Source organism: Homo sapiens, chromosome 6 (assembly GCF_000001405.40).
Source record: "Homo sapiens chromosome 6, GRCh38.p14 Primary Assembly".
Classification (NCBI taxonomy): domain Eukaryota; kingdom Metazoa; phylum Chordata; class Mammalia; order Primates; family Hominidae; genus Homo; species Homo sapiens.
This window is the reverse complement of record NC_000006.12, coordinates 67302324-67329954: the sequence shown is the minus strand read 5'-3', so window position 1 is coordinate 67329954 and position 27631 is coordinate 67302324. Positions and strand designations below refer to the sequence as shown.

The window sequence follows — 27631 nt, the reverse complement described above, 5'->3', positions numbered from 1 at the left end:
TGTTCCACACTGTTAAATATTGAGGCCAGTGGCTACTTGTGACTATTAGGCACTTGAAACATGGGTAATGTGACTGAGAAACTGAATTTTACATTTTAGTTTAGCTTTGATTAATTTCTATTTAAATGCTATGGCCACATGGGCTACTATATGGGACAGCATAGCTCTGGTGATCTCATCCAGTCCAAATGATGGCTTCCAAATTATATATTCTGAAATCCTTAATAATATATCTAAGTATATGCTAGACACTTCAACATGAATGTCTGAAAAACATCTGAGACTTAGTCTGTTCAAATCTTGGGTTTCATAGAAAATTATTGGCTGCCAATGCAGTTCCCATCTTCAGCAAAGCATCTGCATAGCCTCTACCTCAAGATGAAAACCTCTAGTCATCCTTGGCTCCCCTCTTTCTCCAAGTACTAACAACCAATTGATAAAAATGTCATGAAGACTTTACCTTTAAAAAGTTAGGAACTTTTCATCAAATCTCAAACTAGACTCTAATCCCAGTGGCATGCCTCTCTTGCCTGAATTACAATACCTAGTTGCTTCCTGACTCATTTCCCTCCTTCCACTCTTACTGCAGCAGACTGGTCTCTTTTATTAGTGTTCTTTGTCTTTGTTTTCAGATCAGATCTCCAAGAACACCAGCATCACCAGTCAACTATGAGTCCAGAGAATGGATCAAATATACTCCTCTGTGAAGCCCTTGAACTTGGTTTGCTTTGCCTGGAATTATCTTCATTCAAATATCCTTGTTTACATTCCTTGATTCCATTAAGGTTTATACTCATATTCATGGCATAAAAATAAATTATAATCCAATATCAACTTTTGAAAGATCCTTCCAAGAGAATTGTCAAATCCATATATGTATTATGTATGTGTGGGTGTGTGTGTGTGTGCGCGCGCGCGCGCGTGAGCATGCGTGTGTGTGCGTGTGTATCAGCCAGCTAGATTGTCATTACAGGCTACATATGCAGTGTAACTAATCAAAGAAAAAAATTAAAATATTAAAATACTTACTTTATATCCTTAACGATGATCTAGTTTGATGATAAATAATTAAGAATTTTTTAATGGGAAGTACTCAAAAGTTAACATTAAGTGGCTGTATATTTTCTCTGTACATTAACATTGATATCTCAAATTATTGATTAGCTTGTTTCAGTTGCAAGCCCTGATATCCATAAAAGTTATCTGTTTAAGAATTATGAAACTTTGTTTACTAAATCTATTAATTGCTAGGGTCTTTGGTGTGTTATAACTATTTGATCAATGGCTAAATGAAACTCATATATTCGTATCTGCAGATTCTTTATATATTAGATTAATAAAGTTTAACTGCTTTTCTTTATTTTACGTAATGCATCAATACAGTTTTATAGGCAAATATTTGTTAAACTATTAAGAACAGATGACTACCTTTTAAACTAAAGGCTTCAATGAAAAATGTATAAATATGATGCATGGTGATAATTTTGCCATGTAATCATTTTTACATATGGTTGTGCCATCTTCTACAAATTGACAACTAATGACTCTTTGTGGTACAAGGAAAAAAATTTGTAAATTAAATATATTTTCAAATACAGTTTTATGTGAATATACAAATTGTTTGCATGACCAACTTAAGGCTAGGTTTCCATATCTGTTGCTCATTTGAACAGAATTAAGAAAGACAAAGAGTGTTTCATATATCCCAGCATGACAATGGTGTTTCAAAAGTGTTTGTTTTAGCAACAAATTTTCCTGCTATTAAGATATATTTTCCTGGGTACCATAAAGGCATACATCTATACATCAAGTACTATAGACTGATCAAGCACCACGTATCTTGTGCCAAGTGCACTAAGGGATCCTGTAAGGCATGTCAGTGGCTTTTATTGGCAGGTGATTAATGAAAGGAACAATAGATATGCTGATAGGCTCCTATTACCGCTTCAACTGAAAAAAGTTCCCTGTTCATCAGGTCTGCGTTTGACACTCTCAAAAACAATTGCTTTTTGTGGTCAAGTAAAGTTTCTGGATTAACTACACTAAACAAAAGTGGCAGAAAAATCCTCTTCGAAACAGTAGGTCAAGGAATGAATCATTTAATTAGATTGGTACCATTTCTTACAGAAATTCCCTTTTCTTTCAACTCTGGGGTAAAATGCAGAAAACCAACATGTGTGATTTGTAAATAAACATACTTTATAATGGAAAGAAAAATAATATTTAAGCACCATGCTATGTTCTTTACACATACTACCGTAACATTTACAACAATTTTTATATACTGTCTGGTAGAAATTAAAGTTCTAGCAACATAATCTGAGGAGGGGATATATTTGCTCACTTACCCAACAAGTTCAAAAGAAGAATAGGTAGAGTCAGAAGTGGTTACAGGAGTATGATGATGGTCTCAGGAATATGGGCTGCTTTAAACATTTCTCAGGTGTATCTTACTCCTTTGTTGGTCTTATTTTGAGTCACGCTTTAATCAAGGGGTAAAAAATGAATCACTAGCAACTTTGATATTTTATTGTCCTTAAGGCTAGCCATTATCTTAAAAAGTGAGTGTCAATTTCCCAAGAGCATTCTCGGGGGATTCTGAATAGACTGATATTTACCCTATTTTCAGTTTAACCAACAGAATCTTTGATAAAAGGCCTACAGAAAATACAAACTCTCAAAATAAAAGAGTTATAAATATATACAGAAATGCTAGGAAGAATAATACCATGTTCTCTATGAAAGTATTATACTTCCCAGTATGTGTCAGCATAGTGAATTAAATGGAGGCCCACTCAAATACATGTCCTAATCTCTGAAAACCATGAATGTGACCTAATTTGAAAAACAAGTTGTATCAGTCTATTTTGCATTGCTATAAAGGAATATCTGGGACTGGGTAATTTATAAAGAAAAGAGGTCTAGTTGACTCACAGTTCTGGAGGCTGTACAAGAACTAGGCATCTGTTAGGCTTCTGGCGAAGGCCTCAGAAAGCTTTTACTCATGGCAGAAGTCAAGGGGAGGCAGTGTGTTACAGATAAAGAGAGGGAGCACGAAAGTGGGAGAAGAGAGGTCCCAGGCTCTTTAACAACCAGACCTCCCACGAACTAGTAAAGCACGAACTTATTCATTACACGATGGGGAGGGCACAAAGCCATTCATGAAGCATCTGTCCCTATGACCCAAATGTCCCCACTATATTCCACCTTTGAAATTGGGGATTTATTTCAATATAAGATTTGGAGGGAACAAATATGCAAACTATATCAAGTGTCTTTGCAGAAATAATCAAGTTAAAGGTTTTTGAGATGATATTATACTGAATTATTGAGTGGGCCGGAAATCCAATAGGAAGTGTCCCTGTAAGAGATAGAAGAGAAAAAAACACTGATAAAGAAGACAAAGCCATGTGAAGATGGAGGCACAGACTGGAGTTATGCTGTCACAAGGGAAGAAACACCTGGAGTCAGCAGAAGCCGGAAGAGGAAAGAAAGTTTACTCCTATTGATCCTTTGATGAGCTCACAGGCCTACTGATGCCCTAATCAGGACTTGTGGCCTCCAGAACTGTGAGATAATAATTTGTTGTTGTTTAATCTAACTAAGTTGTGGTAATTTGTTATGGCAGCCAGAGGAAACTAATACAGCCAGTGAGAAAACTGAGTTCAAAGCTCAAAGCAATTTGCCCATGTGTGTACAACTAGTAATTAGCAAAGTAGAATTTAAAACTAATCATTTTATTTGACTCTTAAATTCCATGTCCATTCTGCTGTTTGCACAGCATTGATATTTTACAGATTTATTGGGCAACAATTATAATTCAAATGCTTATTTCCTTCACTAAAGCATGGATTCATTTGGTGAAGGCTACATTTTTATTCTTTCTTCTTGCTCATAGTAATCTTTTTCTTTTATTTCATATTGTCAGAAAAGCAAGACTTTCTTTGCCACCAAACTCCTCCCTGGTAAATCACCCTTAAAAAGCAATAAGTTTTATTTTTCTTAGTTTCAACCTGGATAGAGATTCATCTTGGCTGTATATACTCAATGTATTCAGTTTTGACTTTCTACTTCCATTTTTTTGGTAATTTATCTAGCTATCTACATTTAAATCTATATTAAACTCTATATTTATACCCATATATCTATTCTACTTTATATTTATATATATAATAGAATTTAGAGATAACCTACATATATTGAAGAAATCTAGAATATTTACATGTTGCTGAATATACCTATATATTTACATATATTGTTAAATATATATTGCAAATATATGTAGGTTGCTTATGTCTAAATGTACATTATGGATTCATAGATTTAAATTTTTGTACTTCATATTTCCTCTGTTTAGAATGTCCTTTACCTATTTTCATCTATCAAACTGTAACCAGAGTTTGAGTTTTATATTCAGAAAACCCCCATCCCCCCCCACCCCACACACACACACACACACACGAAACCTTTCCAGGTCACTCTAGTGTAAAAAGAGAAAAAAGTCCTCTTTCATTTGCCACTGAGAAGCTTGTATGTGTACTACAGTATGAAAATGTTTTATAGTTACTATCAGGTTTTAAGCTATTTGGAAACTTTGGAATCATTTTATAGACCCCAAACTCAAAAAAAAAACTCTTTAAAACTAAAATGTAAATCTACGTATGAGAAGACTAGAGGTGCAAAAATGTTTACACAGTTCTTACACATTTAAATTTTCCCAAAATATATTTCATATCACTCTATGGCCTTCGCAGCAATATCTTACTTGGAAAACAAGTTTATCCAGTCAGAAAAAATATGATACCCTCCCTTAACTCTGTTTCATGCTGCAATGTGCTAGTAGTGACTGAAGATGAGATCAGAAACAGAGTGTCAATGTAAGAGGGTGGGATGAAAGTGACAGGTAGAAATATATACAGCAGGTGTAATTTATAATTAGCTTAAGAGACCTGAACAGCTTTCTGAGTACCTTCACAAATGTCTATCTAACACAGTGCTTTATATGCCCTGCAAATTACATGGTCCTTCTTGGTAGAAGGTTAGAGAACACAGAGATCAGTTATCTCTGAGAAAATGTATTACTAGGAAAATTTGGTAAAAGATTTAAAGCCAGCCGGGCGCGGTAGCTAACGCCTGTAATGCCAGCATTTTGGGAGGCCGAGTCGGGCGGATCACGAGGTCAGGAGATCGAGACCATCTTGACTAACACGGTAAAACCCCGTCTCTACTAAAAATACAAACAATTAGCCGGGCGAGGTGGCGGGCGCCTGTAGTCCCAGCTACTTGGGAGGCTGAGGCAGGAGTATGGCGTGAACCTGGTAGGCGGAGCTTGCAGTGAGCTGAGATTGCGCCACTGCACTCCAGCCTGGGCGACTGAGCGAGACTCCCGTCTCCAAAAAAAAGAAAAAAAAAACAGATTTAGAGCCACAAAACAACTAATTTAAGATACTTGCTTTCCCCGACTTATTATCATTTTCCTCTCAAATCTATTGTCAACCATCATGACGCTAATAAAGAACTAGTCCAATCCTGTGAGGAATGATGATCAGACATAGCTCTGGACTTAGGTTTGTTGGCAGAGATAGTCCACCAATAAATTATACTTCCTCAGGCAACAATTCATAATCGTTACAAAAAATTAGCTACCAAGTTCTGTGCTTCTCAAATCCTTTTCTATTAGGCATGGATTTGTAGGTTTTCTCTTTTGCAATTAGGCATGGACTTCTCACCAATGAAAAGTAAGTGCATGAGGAGAAGCGATGCGTGTACTTCTAGGCATGGTTCATAACAAAATTCCAAGTTCATTATTCTTTTTTATTTTCTTATCTTTTGGGTGCCTGGAATGAAATCAACCTTCAAGACAATCTCAGAGAATGCTTTGTTTAAAATTATAGAGACTCTGTCTTCTAGAATCCCTTAATTATTATATGAAAGAGGATCACCTGATGAACTGCTCTCCAGAACAAGCAAGAGTAAGAAATAGATTTGTGCTGCTTTTAGCCATTTGAAGTTCCTTTTGTTATATCAGTTAGATTACTCTAAACAATACTTTCATAAATAATAAAAGTTACCATAAAAATAAAAACATGGACAGTGCATACAGAATTATGCCAACTATTGGAAGAAAACTTTGAACACCAAGTGATACTGACAAATATTTAAATAAAATAAAATACCTTTATATAAACCAATACAGTATATAAAAAAATATTTTAAAGTTTCTGGTTTTAAGATTTAAGAAAAAAGTCATGGCTATCTAGGCAAAATGAGAATAATAAAACCTCTGACAAGCATTCAAAAATATGACTGAAAACATAACTTCTCAATGGTAGTACTTAGTTCTCGAAGAACAGTAAACAAATTCCACAAACTACCTGTTTTTATACCCAGCCATTTTTTTATTAAATAAAAATTTGACATGCACATATTTTTCAAACACGGGAAAAATCTTTAGGGGACAGAGAACATTTCTTGAACAAAATTAAACAAGCAAAAATTCCCAGAAGTACTTAAGGATATACTAGTCTAAGATGAAAGAAAACAAGATTTTAGGAGGGATATATAGAGATATATTGAGCAAATGTAAAAACTTCTTATAATACTTAATTTCTTGGGACATTTAAAAATATGTCATATATGTAATATATATAATATATGCATAATTATATATTATGTATACCTTTAGTCACTTTTTCTTACTATACTATAGTATTATACTATAGTATTAATAGTATAGAATATAGTGTATTTATAGTATATAGTGTTTGTAGTCTAGTAATTTGTTTATTTATAGTATATTTTGTTGTTTATTTATAAATAGTATTTATATTATAGAAATTTATTTATACAGTATATATCACCTTATCTGGAAGGACTTCTATTCAAATTGATCCTCCTATTCTAACTGCTAACCCCGGCAGTATCTTTCTTACCTCTTTTATTTTCTTTATAAATTGTATAATTTATGTTTTATATAGATACATATATATTTATTCATTTTATTATCTATTTGTTTTCACTAAAATGTAAGCTAGAATATTTTTATAATTTATGTATATATATATACAGACATACATACATATATTCATTTATTTATATAGTAATTGTAGGGAATGAAGGTGATTAGAATTTTCAACTAAAGGCAAAATCTGAATGATAGTAGAAACATGATTGTGATCATACTATGTTATTGACTATTCAGTATACTTTATTTAGAAAATCATAAGGTAATGACTGCTTAATATTTCTATTACTTAAAACCAACTACAAAGCATATAACGTGATGATTACAAAACCACATATATTATTTAAAATACCATGGAATAGAATTAATTACAATTTCAAATGTTCATGGAAAATGTATAAAAGTAGACATAGTAGGAAAAAAGTAAAGCAAGATGATTTCAAACACATAGAAATAACAATACGTTTTTCACCACAACAAAAAAAAAACTGCAATCAATGAAAATCACATCACAAGGAAACTAGCTACCTGGAAATTAAAAGTCAACAGAAACAGCAGTCTCTAAAATCACCCATGACCTGTTTTGTATTTGCCTTTGTATTTGCCATTCTTTTTGCCTAGACGGCACTTTTCTCAGATGTTCACATCGCTCAGCTTAACACTTCAGCCTTAGCCCAAACATCGCCTTCACAGAAAAGATTTCCTGATTCTGCTATTCAAATTGCTCACACCAACACTCTCTTTCTTAACTCCTTTTTCCTCCACAAATTATATAATTTCTGTGTATGTATACATACATACATAGTTATTTATTTTATCTCTCTGCTTTCACTAAAATGTAAGCCAGAATATTTTCCTTATTACATTCACTGATGTATCCCTAATTGCCTAGAAAAATTCCTCTGACATGACAGGAGGTTAATATACGTCTGTTGGATGAATTAATAAATTAATGAACATATGTAGTTAAAGGATTCATGCTTGAAATTCATTGAGCTGCTTGAATGTTAGGATTTTAACAACATATTTTATATTTTTTCTAAATTTGGTCATGAAGGAAAACATTTTAATTTTGAGTGGAAGAGATATCTATTAATCAAACAATAGTACCAAAAAGTCTAACCTTTTGGCGGGGCGCGGTGGCTCATGCCTGTAATCCTAGCCCTTTGGGAGGCTGAGGCGGGCAGGTCACGAGGTCAAGAGATTGAGACCATCCTGGCCAACAGGGTGAAACTGGGTCTGTAATAAAAATACAAAAATTAGCTGGGGTAGAGGCACGCGCCTGTAGTCCCAACTATTCGGTAATCTGAGGCATGGGAATCGCTTGAACCCGGGAGGCGGAGTGAGCTGAGATTGAGCCACTGCACTCCAGCCTGGTAACAGAGCGATACTCCCTCAAAAAAAAAAAAAAAAAAAAAAAAAAAAAGAGTTTCAACTTTTAATAGGAAAAATCACTTAAAGAGAAAGCGTATTTTGTAACTGAGCTGAGACCTGTAGAATAAAAACGAGTTACCTTGTCAAAGAGGAAAAGAAAGAAGATTATGGATACAAGGAATTTCTTATGAAAGGTCCTCTGTTGAGAGAGTACATGGTGAGCACAAAGAATTGAAAGAAGGCCTGTGTGGGGAATCTCCAAAATTTTCTAGTTATGGCATGATAGCTACAAATGAGCATATTGGAAGAACTTGAGAAAAGCTAACAGATTGGGAATAATTTAAAATAAAAAGAAAATAATTGGTATTGGATTAAATATGTGAATATGGGGCTGGAGAGAGAAGGAGGTGTCATGAATGATTCCTACATCATTGCATTTGAAACTGTATAGACAGTAGCTTCATTAATTTAAATGTGGACTGTAAGAAGAGATTCACATCAGGGAAAGAAGTTTAACATTTCAAATCTTAAGGCATGAAGGCATGATGGATAATGTGTTGAGTAAAAAACAGTTGGAAATAAATATCTGATGCTCAACATATTCAGTTTATGATCTATAAACAGGCAGTTAGGAAAGTCTTGGATGAAAATGGAATTACCAAGAATGGGATTATCTAAGTTCTTAGTAAATGACATTACCCAGGGATATCATTCTGAATTTCCTACTTTGAGAACTTTGAATGTACTGTGGACAAAGAAAGGACAATGAGTCTGCAAATGAGAAAAAGAAAAGCAAGCAAAAGGCAGAGAGTAAAACAGGAAGAAGTGTTAGAGAAAATGAAAACAAGAGTAAATTGTCAGGGGTGGATTGGTAGAGGACAGCAAGGTCACTCATGTCAAATACAACTGAAAGGAAGACAGAAAAAACATCTCTACTTACCAACAAAAATGTGACCACCGGCCAAAAGCAAATTAACGCTATGAAAGGAACCTAGTTATCTGCATAATTTAGGATGCACATGCCAGGAAATTGGACTTGGGATTCGGAATCATGTGAGCATCACCGCTGGTTCTTCAAGTTTGCATTTTTAATTTTGGTTCATACTCAGAAATATAGTCTTGTTGTCAGAGGATTTTTTTCAGAATTAAATTATAAACAGATGTGAATTTTCAGTGAACATCTAGGTGACTTGCCTCTTCAATTATTTTGGATCTTAAACTCTCTCATTAAGTTTGGTCCTAATTTGCTTCCCAAATCATCTGCTTCAGTTGTTGATATAACCCGTGTTAGCAGTAGGGCTGTGTGTAAAACATCTGAACCTAAAACTCAAAGTTTTAATAGTATAATTATCTTCTAAGTTGTTACTTAGAATAATGCTGCATTCAAAATACAAATAACAAAAATGCCTATCATTTTAATTCTGCTTTCAGATGCAATTAGACAGTCCACCACAAGACCAGGGATGGTGACATTTATCATTTGCAACTTTGACCTAGCAACTTTTTTCCATTTATTCTTTGCCTACAAAACCCTACTTTATATATCAGTCAAAGCCATTTTTGACATGTATAATATTATTGTCTGTATACCTTTCTTTAGTGTCTGTTCTATGGCCTGTGGCTCCAAAATTTAATTTTTTAAATAGCAAAATCTTAGTCTTCAATGGAATTTATATAGACGGTCAATTTGAGAAAAAGCTTATTAATTAATAAAAATAGCTTGTATATTCACAGAGAATTGCAGTCTGCAAATTTACATTGAATGTCCTTATTATAGTTAAGTATATACTGCTTTGCTTTTTGTCTAGAATAATTGGTTCTAGCTAGCACTTTTTCCAAAGTGTATGTTTCTAATCTCCATGCAATTTTCTAAATCTCCTTTTGACTGTGAACTGAAACTCCAATGACCATCTCATTCAACATTAAAAATAATGTTAATTCCCTTAAGATACAAATCCAACAAATTAGGAGTTATATTGATGCCATACTTAAATATACACAGTGAATTGTTTCAGCTGTACTTTGGACCCTGAGTTCACAGTCTTGGAAGACAAATCCAAAACATTTTTTAAAACACACATGTAGTCACTTTGATGTGCTGATACCTTGTTTCATTTTCTATTTACGGTGGTGAGAAATTAACTCGTTGAAGCCCTTTTGTAGATATATTAAAGCCCAGGGTATATTATCTTCAGGCACAAGAGTTACTGCATGAGGTTAGCCTTAAGAATAGTTAACTTCTGATTTCCCTCTCTGTATTCCCTCATGCAGAATAAGAACTGTTAGTAATGATGTTGCTAATAATATTGTGCCGCAATTTTTTTAATGTTAAAATTTAAATAACAAAAATGCTTTTAAGATCCAACTTTTGTTATGAATATTTAGATTTAGGAGTTTGCTAGTGAGTATAGTTTGGTATCTTCTACTCTGACAGTTTTCTAATTAGGGAATACTCCTCTCTGTAGTTATTGGGAATATCATTTTCTGTCAGGTTTCATACATTTAACTATATTTATAATTCACATCAAAACATGTACATTCAAGCATAAAAGCCTTGATTATCGCAGTTCAGGTTTGTGGTAGTATTTAAGCTTTCATTATTTTTAGGCCTCAGAGAAAAAGGAAATATCCTTACTTCTCACTTAGTTCATAATATAGCTTTGGATATCTGGATATTTTAGTTTCATTATTATCTAGAATACAAAGCAACAACTGAAAAGACAGATCAGGGTTAGGACTGAGATAACTTGTGGAAAAAAAATTACTAAAATGCAGTAAAGCCCTACATGAATGTACTGCAAAGAATCGAGGATGCATTCCTTAATATATTCTCAGTATTTTGACAGACAACAACAAAGTCCAGAATTGTACTTTCTAAAAAAAAAAATCATATTTCCACAGGCAAAGAATACATATACTTCCACATGTATCACGGCATGAATTTACTTAAATGGCTACAGGGTTTTATGCAGGTTTTGCTACAAATGCTATTCCATTATTTGGAGTTTTGAGAGACAAGAAAGTTCAATTAGGCTTCTTTGCAAAATGGGATATATGATACCATTCAGACAAAGAAACCTTAGTAGAAAAGAAAAAAAAAACTTTAGAAAAGGAGAAAAATCTTTTTTATTTACAACGAAAATGCCAATTTTAGTACTTTTTATTTTCGCTTATATATACAAAGACAAAAATAGTTACAAGACAAAAATAGGCATTTGTAGCTTAGATGTCAACAGTTCTTACAAAAATGCTTCAATATTTCAAAAAAGTTATGACTTTTCCAAACAACTTTTTAAATATATCTAGGCATCTGCTACCTAGAAGAGTTGTTAACATTTTTGGATAAGGATATTTCCTAGCTAGCTATTCTTGAAAGCTATGCTTTGAATTATTTGATTTGAGCTAGGTGAAATGGATAACACACCAAGGGCTTTACTCTCAACAAACCTCTGTTTTAAGTTACTCTTTATGTTGGAGGTGAGGAGACAGACACCTGATGCTTTCCTGCCATCTTACTTTTATCCAAAGTGAAAATATTTCTTTTAGACAAGCATTGTTGAGAGGAATCCTCTGCTTTTTGTAGCACTTTGAAATCAGATGTTGAAAATTCTAGAGATTTTTTTTCAAGTGAGCTAGCTTTCTATTTTACCCTGAAAATAATCTTGACTAAAATTTGCATCAAGAATATATTTTACCCATCACTTAGCAGAGACAACTTCCTGTCACCAAAACACTGACTACTATTTACTTCTTAAAGTATATACAGGTTGAGCATTACTAATCTAAATTCGGAAACTCAAAGTGCTATAAAACGCAAACACCATAGGCAGAAAATTTCATATCTGACCTCATGTGAGGAGTTGCAGTCAAAATGCAGTCAAAAGTTTGCTTTATTTACAAAATTATTTAAAATATTGTATAAAATTATCTTTAGGCTACGTGTACAAAGTATATATAAAACATAAGTAAGTTTCATGTTTAGACTTGGGAGTCATCCTAAGATATCTCATTGGTAATTGCAAGTATTCAAAAATTCAAACAATTCTACATTTGAAACATTTCTGGTTCCAAGCACTTCAGATAAGAGATACTCTATTGCTATAAAACATTATTTTACTAATAGTTTAAAAATATATAAACTTGCATGGACACATACTGCAAAAACGTATTAGATATTTTTTCCAAAATCTAATTAAAAATTTTGAAGTATTAACTCTTCTTGGTGGCCTAACACGTAGCTTTCTTTTAATAATGATAGTGTAGTATACATTATAGTTGTTTAACTCTTTTATAAAATCAATATTTAAATGAAAGGACACTTGGTAACATAAATTAATACAGCCTCTTTGTTCTTATGGTTTATATTATATCTACCCAAGAAATATTCTTTGTAAAAATATACCATACAAATATGTAATTTATATAATCATTTTATATAAACCTACCATAAACCAGAGAAAAACTATTGAATTTTATGTAATTCAAAGCATGGATGATGTACCTTAAAAATTCAAGGTACCTCTTATTATACTAATAAAACATATCCTTTAAACTATATTATTTGTTTATAAAGCTCCATATGCAGGTTAAGGGAAAAAACAGTGTGTAAGTTATATTGCTAGTAGTAAACTGATATACTGAACTTTTAGGCAAGAACTTATTTCACAAAAATAGTTTTCAATGATGTCAGGAATTTTAGGACAATAATCAGTACAATGTAAAAGCACTCATTTTCTCTCAAATGGTGAGACATTTTGTACTTGAGAAAAGTTAATCTATCTTGAAAAATATGGTTCTTAATGAGGCACAAAACTGAATATATTTTTAAAAGATATCAAGGCTTGAAAGCATCTTATCTGTATGAGAGCTAGTTATTAGTGACAGCTTGGTATTTTAACCTTAATATTCAATAAAACATATGTTTATATGTTCATGAATTTTTCCTTTAAAAGTATCTTTTTGATAAAAACAAACATTTGCAAGTTTTAAATTAAGAAACAGAAATCATTAGACCACCAGAAGTCGTATTTCCTGTAGATAAAAGTTAAATTCTAGTGGGTTTTTAAAAATTATATTGAGATATATTGGTTTGCAGAAAAAATCAGAAAATTAATAAATGCTTAGCAAACATTACATACTTTAACCTATGTCAGTCCAATATTACTGCATTTAAATATTTATTGCCTATTTATTCTTAGCAATTATATATACTACTTTGTTTATAGTTATCAATTATTGTTTTTTTTAGTTTTCTAGAGTGTTTCTTTTAGTTAGAGTCACCTAAACTATATAGAATATTTTTATATTAGAAAATATCAAGTAGAACTAATAACAGTTACTCAATAATATAGATTCAACCTTTACCAATAAAAGAAGGAATTGACGACATATACAAGTACCTGACTACATAATATATTTTTGGATAGCTCAAATTGAGAATTAGCTTTGTGTTACACAGTAGCCATCAGAAGTACTGATCACTAACACTTATAGAATGGGATTGTACATCAGGTTCTGCTTTAAGTGCTGTAATTACATTGACTTACTATATGTCAAAGCAACACCTATGATGTAGGTACTATTATAATCTCATTCTATAGACTGTGAAAATGAAGTATAAAGAAATTATAACTTGTCAAATATCACAAGCCAATAAATGTTAGAACAGGGGATTCAAACTGAAGTGTCCGGATCCACAATCTGGCCTCTCCTTCGTTGTGCTATCCTACCTGCAAAGAGTTGAGCTTCTGTGGAGTCACTAGGAAGCTGTCAGATTAACAAACCCAACCTCTTTCCATAGAAAGAAATGGCTTAAGAGGAATGATTCTTTCACATTTCTCCAACATTCTTCAACAATTTCTTTTAATTTTCATACAACTTCTATCAATGTTTGCCTTTTCACTTTTCTCTAGGACTTTTGTTTTATGGTGGAATAGTGCAGAGTGGCTGGGCCATTTGGAGTTAGTTTTCAGAAACAAGAGAGATAAAGAATGAAGCGCAAGCCTTCCATCCAAAAAAAGTCCTGGAGACCTTTTAACTTGTCTCTATTTCAACTATCATTGATCCAACATAGTCAAGGCAAGCAGACAAGTGAGGATTTATGCTATTATCGTGTTCTTATTTTAATCATTTGTTACATTTTGGAAACATCTGAAAAAGCATTTAGAGATGTCATGAAGAGATGTTACTTCTGAAAAGATGAAAATAGTGCCAAATACACCAAGGGTAGATTTATAGCTCAACAAAGATAAAGATAGCCTCCTTCAGACACAATGAATTATATTTACCACATGAGAGAGGCAAGAATTTTGAATATGGGTTTAATTAAATCCATCCGGGGGCACATGCCATGATTAAATTTAAGAGTTATTCAAAATAATTTTAAAATATTTATTTTAAGGGTAGAGTTACTGACATATTATTCAAAGTTATTTCTCATGCTGAAATAAACTTTCTTCTAATGTCATCCCAAAATTTGTATAGTCAAGTCTAATAAGAGATGATAAAATTTAGACGTAAATATAAAAATAGCAGTATTTCACACATTAAGCTACCATGTAAGACTGGGACTGAACTGAATGCAGTTGCAGCCACATTTTAATTGTGGAATCACATAGAATTATTTAATCACATGGAATACAGAACTCTTGAGTTGGAATTGAACATCTACATGACAACAAGTAGTAATGAACCCAAAAGTTCATCTTAGTTTTACGGACTGAAGAAATCTGAGTTGATCTCTGAGTTCCGTTTTTCTTATTCTTAAAAATTTAACTAAAAGGCTATTATCAGAAAAGATGAAAGACAACAACTGTCATAAATGTAGAGAAAAGATAATCCTTATATATTGTTGATGGAAATGTAAATTGGTACAGCCATGATAGAAAACATTATGGAGGCTCTGCAAAAAAATTAAAAATAAAATTTCCATATGATCCAACAGTCACAGTTCTGGATATATATTCAAAGGAAATAAAATTCAGGTCTGAAAGAGATGTCTGGATGTCATGTTCACTGCTGCATTATTCACAATAACCGAGATATGGAAACGACCTACATATTGGTCAACAAATGAAAGGATAAAGAAATGTGGTACACACACACACACACACACACACACGCAAACACACACAGACAATACAGTATTATACAGCCTTAAAAAAGAAAAAACCCTATCATATGTGACAACAAGAATGAGCCTAGAGGCCACTATGCTATATGTAGTAAGTCAGAAACCAAAAGACAAATACTGCATGATTTTACTCATATGTGGTACCTAAAAATGTTAAACTCACAGAAGCAGAATAGAATGGTCGTTGCTGAGGGTTGGGGTAGAAAAAGTAGGTGGCCGGGCGCGGTGGCTCACGTCTGTAATCCCAGCACTTTGGGAGGCTGAGGCGGGCTGATCACCAGGTCAGGAGATCAAGACCATCCTGGCTAACACGGTGAAACCCTGTCTGTACTAAAAAAATACAAAAAATTAGCCAGGCGTGGTGGCGGGCGCCTGTAGTCCCAGCTACTACTCCGGTGGCTGAGGCGGGAGAATGGCAGGAACCCGGGAGGCAGAGCTTGCAGTGAGCCGAGATCGCGCCACTGCACTCCAGCCTGGGCTACGGAGCGAGACTCTGTCTCAAAAAAAAAAAAAAGAAAAAGTAGGTATGGTTGGCCTAAGGCTTTCAAAGTTCAGTTATTCAAGCTAAATAATTTCTAGAAATCTAATTACAGCACGGTAACTATAGCTAATTATATTCTTATTACATACTTGAAATTCGTATAGAGTTAAGTTTAAGTACTCTCACCACACACACATAGACACAAACATAGTGTAACTATGGGAGATGATGGATGTGTGAATTAGCTTAATTGAAGGTAATCATTTTACATTGTATGCGTATATCAAAACATCATGTTGTACATCCTAAATAGATACAACTTTTATTTGTCAAGTATACTTTAATAAAACTGGGGGAAAAAACTTTGAATAAATAAATTAAGCCTGATAATATTGCCCTTTTCTGTGTTTATACAGTTCTCTATTAAACAACATTAAAAGATGAAAAACAATAAAAATAATTTAGTCCTTATGCTATTTTTTAAAATTTTTCATTTCCAAGTGTTTTGTCCTTGTTCATATGGTGTAAGAGATTACCAAGAGAATCTAAACCAGATCTCCAGCTCTACTTACACTCCTGAATATATCTATACTCTTCTGGACTTAGTCATCTCAGTGACAAGCAGACATTTAATCTTTATATAAGAAAAAAATAGACAAATAAATCTCCCTTTTAAAAACTTGTATTACTCAATCAGAACTTCTGGAAATAAAAGACACATTTAGGGAACTATAAAATTCAGTGGAAAGTTTTAATGATAGGCTACACCACATAGAAGAAAACATTTCAGAGCCCAAAGACAAGACTTTCAATTAAGCCAATCAAACAAAAATAAAAAATTAAATTAAATTAAAAATAAAGATCAATGTCTGTAAGAAATATGGGATTATTTAAAAAAACCAAACCTATGAATCTTCCTGAGGTTGAAAGAGAGCAGAAAGTCTCAAAAACCTATTTGAAGGACTAATTGAGAAAAAATTTTCCTGGCCTTGTTAAAGACTTAGACATCCAAATACAAGAAGCTCAAAGAACTCCTGTGAGAGTCATTTGCACAAAGGACCTCACCAAGGCATATAGTCTTTGGGCTATCTAAAGTCAATATAAAGGAAAGAATTATAAGTGCAGTGAGACAAACGCATCAAGTAACCTATATGAGAAAACCTATCAGAATAACAGCAGACTTCTCAGCAAGAATCTTAAAAGCCAGAAGGGATTGGGGTCCTATTTCTAGTCTCCTTAAGCAGAATAACTCCCAGCCAAGAATTGTGTATCCAAAAAAAACTAAGTTTCATAAATAAAGAAAAAATAAAGTCTCTTTTAAACAAGCAAATGCTGAGGGAATTTATCAACATTACACCAGACTTACAAGAAATGCTAAAAGGAGTTCTAAGTCTTGAAACAAAAGGTTGATATGCACCAGAAGAGAAAGTCTTGAAAGAACAAAATTCGCAGGGCTAATAAAACAATAACACAATGAATAATACAAAGTCATTAGGTAAGAACATGATGACTGTAACAGTACCTCATATCTTAATATTAAGGTTGAATGTAAATGGTCTAAATACTCTACTTAAAAGATACAGATTGGCAAAATGTATTTAAAAATTACAAACCAAATATTTACTGTCTTCAGGAAACCCACTTAACACATGGGTATTCTTATAGACGCAAGGTAAAGGAGTGGAATAAGATATTTTATGCAAATGGAAACCAAAAGAAAATATGAGTAGCTATTCTTATATTAGATAAAAACAGATTTTAAAGCAACAACAGTTAAAAGAAAAGATGAAGAAGGTCATTATATAATGATAACCAGTTCAACTCAACAAGAAGATATAACAATTCTAAAAATGTATGCACCTAACTCCAGAAAGAGTGAATAAAGCCCTACTAGACTTAAAGAAAGAATTAGACAGCAACACAATAAAGTGGAGAACATAAACACTTCACTTATAGCACTAGACAGATCATCAAGGGAGAAAGTCAACAAAGAAACACCACATTTAAACTGCACTCTAGAACAAATGGACCTAACAAATATTTACATAATATTCTACCCAAGAACTGCAGAATATACACTCTTCTCAGCACAAGGAACATGACGCAAGATCGACCATATGATAGGCCACAAAAAAAGTGTCAATAAACTTTTTTAAATCAAAATCATATTAAGTATCTTCTCAGACCATAGCAGAATGAAACTAGAAATCAATTCGAAAAGAACACTCAAAACTATACAAACATATGAAAATAAAACAATCTGCTCCTGAATGATTTTTTGGTTAACAATAAAATTAAAATGAAAATGTTTTCAAAACATTCAAAATGAATGATAACAGTGATAAGAGTTATCAAAACCTGTGGTATACAGTAAAAGCAGTGCTAAGAGGAAAGCTTATAGTGCTAAATGCCAACAGCAAAAGTCTAAAAAGTTACAAACTGGCAACCCATTGTCATGCCTCAAAGAACTAGAGAGAAAAGAACCAATCAAACCCAAAGTTAGCAGAAAAAAAAATAGAAATAACAAAATCAGAGCAAAACCAAATGAAACTGAAAAAATACAAACACACACACACACCCCAAACAAAAAATTAATAAAATGAAAAGCTAGTGCTCTGAAAAGATAAAATTGAAAAACCACTAGCTAGATTAACCAAGAAAAGATTGATTCAAAAAAGTTCAATTAGAAATGAAAATGGAGGCATCACAACTAACAACACAGAAATGCAAAAGATAGAGACTACTATGAACACCCCTAGTCACACAAACTAGAAAATCTAGAGAAAAGGGATAAATTTTTGGAAATATACAAACCCCACCTCTAGCTTGAATCAGGAAGAAATAGAAATACAGAACAGATCAATAACAAGCAGTGAGATTAAATCAATATGAAAAAAACTGCCAAGGGCAACAAAAAAGCCCAGGGCCAGATTGATGTAAATCTGAATTCCATCAGACATTTAAATAACTGATAACAATTCTACTGAAACTATTCCAAAAGATTCAAAAGGAGGGAATGTTCCCTGATTTATTCCATGAAGCCAGTATTATCCTCATACCAAAGCCAAGAAATGACATAACAACAAAAAAAGAGATAAAACTACAGAGCAATATTCCTGATGAATAGAGATGTAAATATGTTCAACAAAATACTGGCAAACTGAATCCAACAGCATATTAAAAACATAATTCACCATGATCAACTGGGTTTCATTCCAGGGAGGTAGGGATTTTGCAATACTCAATATAATGTGATTAATCACATAAACAGAATTAAAAACAAAAAACATATGATCATCTCCATAGATGTAGAAAAAACATTTCATAAAATCCAGCACCTCTATAAGACAAAAACCCTCAATAAACTAGGCATAGAAGGAACATACCTGAAAATAATAAAAGAAGCATACGAAAAAACCCACAGCCAACATCTTACTAAATGGGGAAATGTTGAAAGCATTTTCCCTAAGAACTGGAACAAGAAAATAATGCACATTTTCACTACTTCTGTTTAACATAGTACTGGAAGTCCTAGCCAGAGCAATTAGGCAGGTTAAAAAAAAAAAAACACCTAGATTAGCAAAGAAGTAGTCAAACTATTTTTATTCGCTGATGATATGATCTTACACTCAGAAAACCCTAAAGAGTCCTCCAAAATACTCTTGGATCTGACATATAAATTCAGTGAAGTCTTGGGTTACAACATCACTGTACAAAAACAAGTAGCACTATTATACACTAACAATGACTAAGCTGAGAATTAAATCAAGAATTAAATCCCTTTACAATAGTTAAAAAAAAAAAAATGCCCAGGAATATACTTAGCCAAGGAGGCAAAAGATCTCTAAAAGGAGAACCACAGAACACGCTGAAGGAACCATAGATGAAACAAATGTGAAAATGCATCCCATGTTCATGAATTGAAATAACTAATATTGAAAAAATAACCATAATGCCCAAAGCAATCTACACATTCATTATAATTCCTATCAAAATCCCAACATTATTTTAACATATTTAGAAAATTCAATTCTAAAATTTATAGAGAATCAAAAAAGAGCATTATAGCCAGTACAATCCTAAGCAAAAGGTATAAATCAGGAGGCATCACATTACCTGACTTCAAATTCTTCTACAAGTCTGCAGTAACAAAAACAGCAAAGTACTGGTATAAAAGTAGATACACAGACCAATATAACAGAATCCAGAATCCAGAAATAAAGCTAAATATTTATCTCCAATCAGTCTTTGACAAGGTATATTAGTCCATTCTCACACTGCTATAAAGACTTGCTTGAGATTGGATAATTAAGAAACAAAAAAGTCTTAATAGACTAATGGTTCCACATGGCTGGGGAGGCCTCAGGAAACTTACAATAATGGCAGAAGGGGAAGGGGAAGCAAGGCATTTTCTTCACAAGGGGGCAGGAGGGAGAATGACTGCAGAGGAACTACCAAATACTTATAAATCCATCAGCTCTCATGAGAACTCACTATCATGAGAAGAGAATGGGGGAAATCACCCCCATGATCCAATAACCTCCACCTGGTCTCTCTCTTGACACATGGGTTTTATGGGGATTATGAGGATTACAATTCAAAATGAGGTTTGGGGGAGCACACAAAGCCTAACCACATCATTTCACCCTTGGACCCTACAAAATGTCATGTTCCTTTCACATTTCAAAACCAATTATGCTTTCCCAGTAGTCCCCCAAAATCTTGATTCATTCTATTATTAACCCAAAATTCCAAGTCCAAAGCCTCGTCAAGACAAGGCAAGTCTCTTCTGCCCAGAAGCCTGTAAAATCAAAATCAAGTTAGTTGCTTCCAAGACACAATGGAGGTACAGGTATTGGGTAAATGTTTCCATTCCAAATGGAAGAAATTAGCCAAAACAAAGATGCTACAGGTCCCATGCAAGTTCAAAACACTGCAGGGCAGCCATTACATCTGTAAGATTAATCTGAAATTATCTCCTTTGACTTAATGTCTCACATCTGGGTCATGCTAATGCAAGAACTAGATTTCCCACAGTTTTGGTTATCTCCAACCCTGGTGGCTTTTCGGGGCACAGCCCTCTTCCTGGCTGCTTTCCTAGGCTGGCGTTGAGTGTCTGCAGCTTTTCCAGGCACACAGTGCAAACTACCAGTGGATCTAACATTTTGGGGTTTGGAGGAGAGTGGCCCTCTTCTTACAGCTCCAATAGGCAGTTTCTCAGTGGGGACTCTGTGGGATTCCCTCATTTTCCTTCCACACTGCCCTAGCAGAGGTTCTCCATGAGGACTGGACCCCTGCAGCAAACTTCTGCCTGAACATCCAGGTGTTTCCACACATCCTCTGAATTCTAAGTGAAGGTTCCCAAACCTCAATTCTTGACTTCTGTGTACCCACAGCCTCAACACCATGTGGAAGCTGCCAAGACTTGGAGCTTGCAGCCTCTGAAGCAATGGCCTGAGCTGGACATAGGCATGTTTTTTCCATGGCTGGGAAGCAGGACATCAAGTTATGAGACTGCACAAAGCAGCAAGGTCCTGCATCCAGCCCACAAAATCATTTTTCCTCCTAGGCCTCTGGGCTTGTGATGGGAGGGGTGGCCATTAATACCTCTGACATGCCCTGGAGACATTTTCTCCATTGTCTTGGTGATTAACATTTGGCTCTTCATTACTTATGCAAATTTCTTCAGTAGGCTTGAATTCTTCCCCAGCATATGAGTTTTCCTTTTTTTTTTTTTTTTTTTTTAATAATATACTTTAAGTTCTGGGATACAAATGCAGAACATGCAAGTTTGTTACATAGGTATACACATGCCATGGTGGTTTGCTGCACCCATCAACCCATCATCCACATTAGGTATTTCTCCTAATGCTATCCCTCCCTTAGCTCCCCACCCCCTGACAGACCCTGGTGTGTGATGTTCCCCTCCCTGTGTCCATGTGTTCTCTTTGTTCAAGTCCCACTTATGAGTGAGAACATGCGGTGTTTGGTTTTCTGTTCCTGTGTAGTTTGTTGAGATTGATGGTTTTCAGCTTCATCCATATCCCTGCAAAGGATATGAACTCTTCCTTTTTTATTGCATCAGGCTGCCTATTTTTGGAACTTTTATGCTCTGCTTCTCTTTTAAACATTAGCTCCACTTCCAAACCATACTATTGTAAATGCATAAAACTGAATGCTTTTAAGAGCACTCAAGGCACCTCTTGAACACTTTGCTGCTTAGTAATTTCTTCCACCAGATACTCTAAATCATCATTCTCAAGTTCAAAGTTTCACAGATCTATAAGGTGGGGCAAAATGCCAGCAGTCTCTTTGCTAAAGTATAGTAAGAATCACCTATATTCCAGTTCACAACAAATTTGTCATCTTTATCTGAGACCATTTTAGCCTGGACTTCATTGTCCATTATCACTATCAGCGTTGTGGTCAAAGCCATTCAGCAAGTCTCAAGGAAGTTTCAGACTTTCCTACTTCTTCCTGTTTTCTTCTGTGCCCTCTAAATTGTTCCAACCTCTGCCTGTTACCCACTTCCTAAGCTGTTTCCACATTTTTGGATATCTTTATAGGAGCACTCCACTCTATGCGTTACCACCTAACTGTATTAGTTGATTCTCACATTACTATAAAGAACTGCATAAGCCTGGGTAATTAAGAAAGAAAAGAGGTTTAATTGACTCAAAATTCCACATGGCTGGGGAGGCCTCAGGAAACTTAAATTTATGGTGGAAGTCACCTTCTTCACAAAGTGGCAGGAAGGAGAATGAACACAGGAGCAACTACCAAACAGTTATAAAACCATCAGATCTCATGAGAACTCACTCACTATCATGATAACAGCATGGGAGACATCATGCCCATAATCCAATTACTTTCACCTAGTCTCTCTCTTGACATGTGGGGATTATGAGGATTAGAATTCAAGATGAGATTTGAGACGGGACACAAAGCGTAACCATATTACAGAGCATATAAAAATGTTAATTTGAAAAAGAACATCCTATTCAATATATGATGCTAGGAAAATTAAATATCCACATGTAAAATAATAAAGCTACAGCTCTGTCTCTCACTATATAAAAAGATTCAAGATGAATTAAAGTTAAATATAAGACCTGAATCTATGAAAATTCTAGAAGAGCACCTAAGAAAGTCTCTTCTGGACATTGGCCTACAAAAAAATACATATATTGCGAAGGCCCCAAAAGGAAATGCAATGAAAACAAAAATGAGACCTAATTAAACTAAAAGGCCTCTGCACAGCAAAAGAAATAATTATCAGTGTAAACAGACAACTCAAAAATGAAAAAACAACTGCAAACTTTGTATCTGACAAAGGACTAATATCCAGAATCTACAAATAACTCAAACAAATCAGCAAGAAAAAAACTAAAAAATCTCATCAAGAAGCAGGCAAATGACATGAATAGATACTTCTCAAAAGAAGAAATAAAAAAGGTCAACAAATACATGAAAAAAAAGTAGACATCACCAAGCATCAGGGAAATGTAAATTAAAACCATAGTGAGATACCACTTTACTCCTGCTAGAATTTCCATAATTAAAAAGTCAAATAATAATAGACTTTGTCATGGATGTGGTGATAATGGAATGCTTACACACTGCTGGTGGGCTTGTAAATTAGTAAAACTTCTAAGGAAGACAACATAATGACTTCTCAAATAAATAATAATGGATCTACCATTCTATCCAGAAATCTCACTACTGGGTATCTCCTCAAAGGGAAAAAGTCACTATATCCCAAAACACCCACATGTATATGTTTATCACAACAAAATTCACAATTGCAAAGATATAGAATCAATCTAAGTGTCTTTCATCTGATTTAAGGATAAGGAAAATGTGGTGTACATGCATTATAAAATATATTACCATAGAAAAGAACCAAATATTCTACTGCAGCAAATTGGATGAAACTGGAGGCCATTATTCTAAGTGAAGTAAGTCAGGAATTAAAAATCTAATACCATATGTTTTCACTCATAAGTGGGAACTAAATTATGGGTACATTAAGGCATACTGAGTGGTGTAGTGGATACTGGAGACTCAGAAAGGAGGAGGAGTGTGAGGGATGAAAAACTGCCTATTGGGTACAATGCACATTATTCAGATGACAGGTGCACTAAAATCCTAGACATCAGCACTATATAATTCATTGATGTATTCAAAAACCACTTCTACTCCTAAAGCAATTGAAATGAAATTTAAAAAATAAGTATGTTCCTTATATTCTGAAGATTCCCACCAGCCTAGTTATCCAAAGTAGACAAATTGAGAATTTTTTTATTATCCTCTTTCAACTATTTTAATCAACTAATTTTTTATCTTAATATATTTCAGAGAGACAATTTTTATCATCTGCACTGCAATCTTTATGTGTTCTTTTTCCTACTTTGATGTTTCCCAACTCCATTCTATTTATCTGTGTATCTCACAGGTAAAAATATATAATCCTAATTTAAAATATTACCACATTTCTTCTCTTTAAATCAACTCTGACTAATTAAAGATATAGATGTTTGTATACAGAAACATTTATAGATATGTGCATATACATGGATTAATATATACATACACACATATATAATATACATTAAATTTATACAAATATATAATGCACACATACATTATATATTATATATAAGTTATTATATGTGTGTGTGTGTATTAACCCATTATATATTCAAGCTCTGTAATTAGAGATGGCTTTAAAACAACTGCACCTCGGTAGCAAGGAGTGCACCTGGCTTATTTGTCTTGGTTTCCAATACTTTTTTTTTCTAATAAAAGGAACCAGAGATACTTGGAGAAATAGCTGATTCTTAGACTGGGGCAAGAATTAAACAACATGAGTCTAGAGCATCTGATAGTGCTAGGAAGTGAGAAAATGCTCAAGATAACAACAACTCTAATAACAATAAAATCCACAATAAAGGGATATGTCAAAGGAAAACATGAGCCAAATGAAAGACTTCTCAATGACCGAAGCTAGAACAGTTTCTGAAACAAAATAAATACAAGTAAGAAATAAGAAATAAATATTATTTCATACTGATATAAATTATTGAGTGATACATTAATAGGGGATATAGACAAATCTCTCTGCAGACAAACTACAAATTATTTATGTAGATATTCTGTCCTCCAAGTGGTGGAGCATAAGTGTGGACCACTACTTAAGTGTGGACCACTGCTTAAGTGTGGACCACTGCTTAAGTGTGGACCACATAGTGACTTTCTTTCAAAGAGGCTAGTATGTAGAGGGAAATGAAGGGTTACAATGGGTGAACCTGAAATACACTATGTAAATCACGTAATAAGTACATCAATAGTGGTAAGTCATGTTGATAGCCTGATCTTTGATACAATGAGAAGGGCACTTTGTCTCTGTAATCTTTATCCCCAAACCAATAACCACAATCAAAACATGAGGAAATCATCAAGCAAATTCTACAGGAGGATATTTTATCAAATACCTGACCAAAATTCCTTACTACTCTCATTAAGCAAACCAGAAAAACTCTCATTAACAAACAAGAAAAGTCTGAGAAACTATCACATTTAAGAATAGCTTAGAAGGTATGAACACAAAATGTAATGTAATATCCTAGATGGAAAGCTGGAACAGAAAAAAAATCAGGTAAAAACTAAGAAAATTTGGATAAAGTGTATTTTTCAGCTAGCACTAATGTGTCAATATTGGTTCATTAGCTGTGACAAATTTACTACACTAATATAAGATGTGATTTTTTTATGTAAATCTGAAAGTATTCTGAAATAAAATGTGTATAAAAATAAGAAAAAATGATTCTTAAATAATTCTGAATATGGATGATGACAAAATAAACAAAACCAATAAAAAACATGGAAACACAATTAGAAACTTTAACAATGAAATAGCTACAAACTAAAACCAAAAGCCCTAAAATTACCCAGAAATTACGGACATAAATGGACTTAAATGAGGAAAGTGTTGTTCTAACCTCATGTAAGTTTCTCAAAATCCTAAGAAGACATTTTATTCTTAAAGTATGATCTACATGAAAATGTAATTCAATTGTCTTTGATAGAGATAGCAAGAACAAGAGGTAGAAGCATGAATGGTGTGAGAAAATGTGAGAAGATAATTTTAAAATATTCCAACAAACAAAAGCGAAAGCCCAGACCCAGATATGTTAGCAGGTGACTTCTATCAAACATTAAATCACACAAATTTTTTAATGTTCTTCCAAAAAATTACCCAGTGGCATTTATCCCACAAATGCAAAATCGGGTAAACATTTGCAAATCAATTAACATAGTAAGTCTGTTGATAGAAAAAGCATACACACAGGAAAAAAAAATGTATCATTACCTCAATAGACACATGGAAACTATTTGGCAAAACCTAGCACCCATTCATGATAAAAACACTCAACAAAAAGGAATATAAAATAAATTATTTAAATTGGTTAAGATCTACATAAAACCCATAGCTAATACTAAAAATAATAAAAGACTGAATGCTTCCTTCCTAAAATCAGAAACAATTGACAAAAGTCTACCAGACTAACCAAGAAAAAAGTAAAGACACATTTACTCTTATCAGGAATGAAAGAAGGCATTAAAAGTATTATTGACTAAAGACTCAAGCCAAACAAAATAGACAACTTAAATGAAACTTATCAATTCCCTAAAGGCAAAACTACCATAAATCACTCAAGAATAAATACATAATATAGTCTCTTAAAGGACTTGAATTGCTATGCAAAATCTTCCAAAAAAAAAAAAAAAAGTCTCCAGGGCTTAATGGTTTCATTGGCAAATTCTGTCAGAAATGTAAGAAAAAAATAATAGCAATTATACACATTCTCCAAATAGAAATTAAAGGGTATGTTTGCAGTTTACTCACCTATCATCATATGAAAATTGGTCATAACTTCATTATTCAGATGACACTGCTGACCCCAACTCAATGCAAATATCTGGCCAGATGTTTTATGTTCCCTGATATTATGGTTAGCTGTAGAATTTAATAATCACAGATATATTTGAATATTTCACTTTTTCTGGTTTACATATACTTCAGAGCTAGGTGGCAAATTATAAAGTCTATAAAGAAGTTTCAACAATAATTATGTGTACTATTAAAGCAGGCTTTCCTCAAGGGTACTTCTACTTTACTTAACTCAAAGGTCTTTGACCCAGACCTGGGTGAGAGACAGTAACTATCTACAGTGGTAGTTAAGTTCCATTTCTCTTCCAAACGCATGAATAGGTGGTACTTTCCTTAGTTTAAACAAGTTTAGTTATACCTTTGTGAGTATATGGACTCTTCATTTCTTTCCTAAGAGTTCCAAGATTAAGTAACTATATCCAAAGTGTATAGCATATGTACCACTTGCTGAATTAAGATTAGCATGCTTACCCTACAACTTCTTATGATAACCTTATACATATGTTTATTATTAGTTACACAAAGCATGTGGACTCCAGTGTCTCAGTCTCTCTCTGTTTCTGTTATGAGACTGTTTGTTTAAACATTTATCTCTTACATACACAACTTTAATAATAATTTTAAAAAACTGCAAAAGTAATTTTATTTATTTAAGAATTTTGGCATATATATTTACCAGTTTATTCTTTGTGATGTGAAGAAAGGGATGTTTTTTGAATCTTGGGA

General features: G+C 33.5%; 1 long non-coding RNA gene across 1 annotated transcript in view, besides 1 other annotated feature; it reads right to left on the bottom strand.

Annotated features, from left to right (window-relative positions):
• Positions 1-27631, bottom strand: part of LOC105377842 (uncharacterized) — a 51796-nt gene that overhangs the window by 22516 nt on the left and 1649 nt on the right. The window contains exons 2-3 of the long non-coding RNA XR_942658.3: positions 26861-26971; positions 2349-2482 (exon numbers count right to left, since the gene is read on the bottom strand). This is a non-coding gene — a long non-coding RNA (uncharacterized LOC105377842). The remainder of the gene's footprint in view (positions 1-2348; positions 2483-26860; positions 26972-27631) is intronic.
• Positions 22212-22412: a silencer, noted in NCBI's record as "peak5869 fragment used in MPRA reporter construct". NCBI's record gives its function as "represses an SCP1 promoter by STARR-seq MPRAs in K562 erythroleukemia cells {active_cell/tissue: K562}" and the evidence as "EXISTENCE:reporter gene assay evidence [ECO:0000049][PMID:32103011]".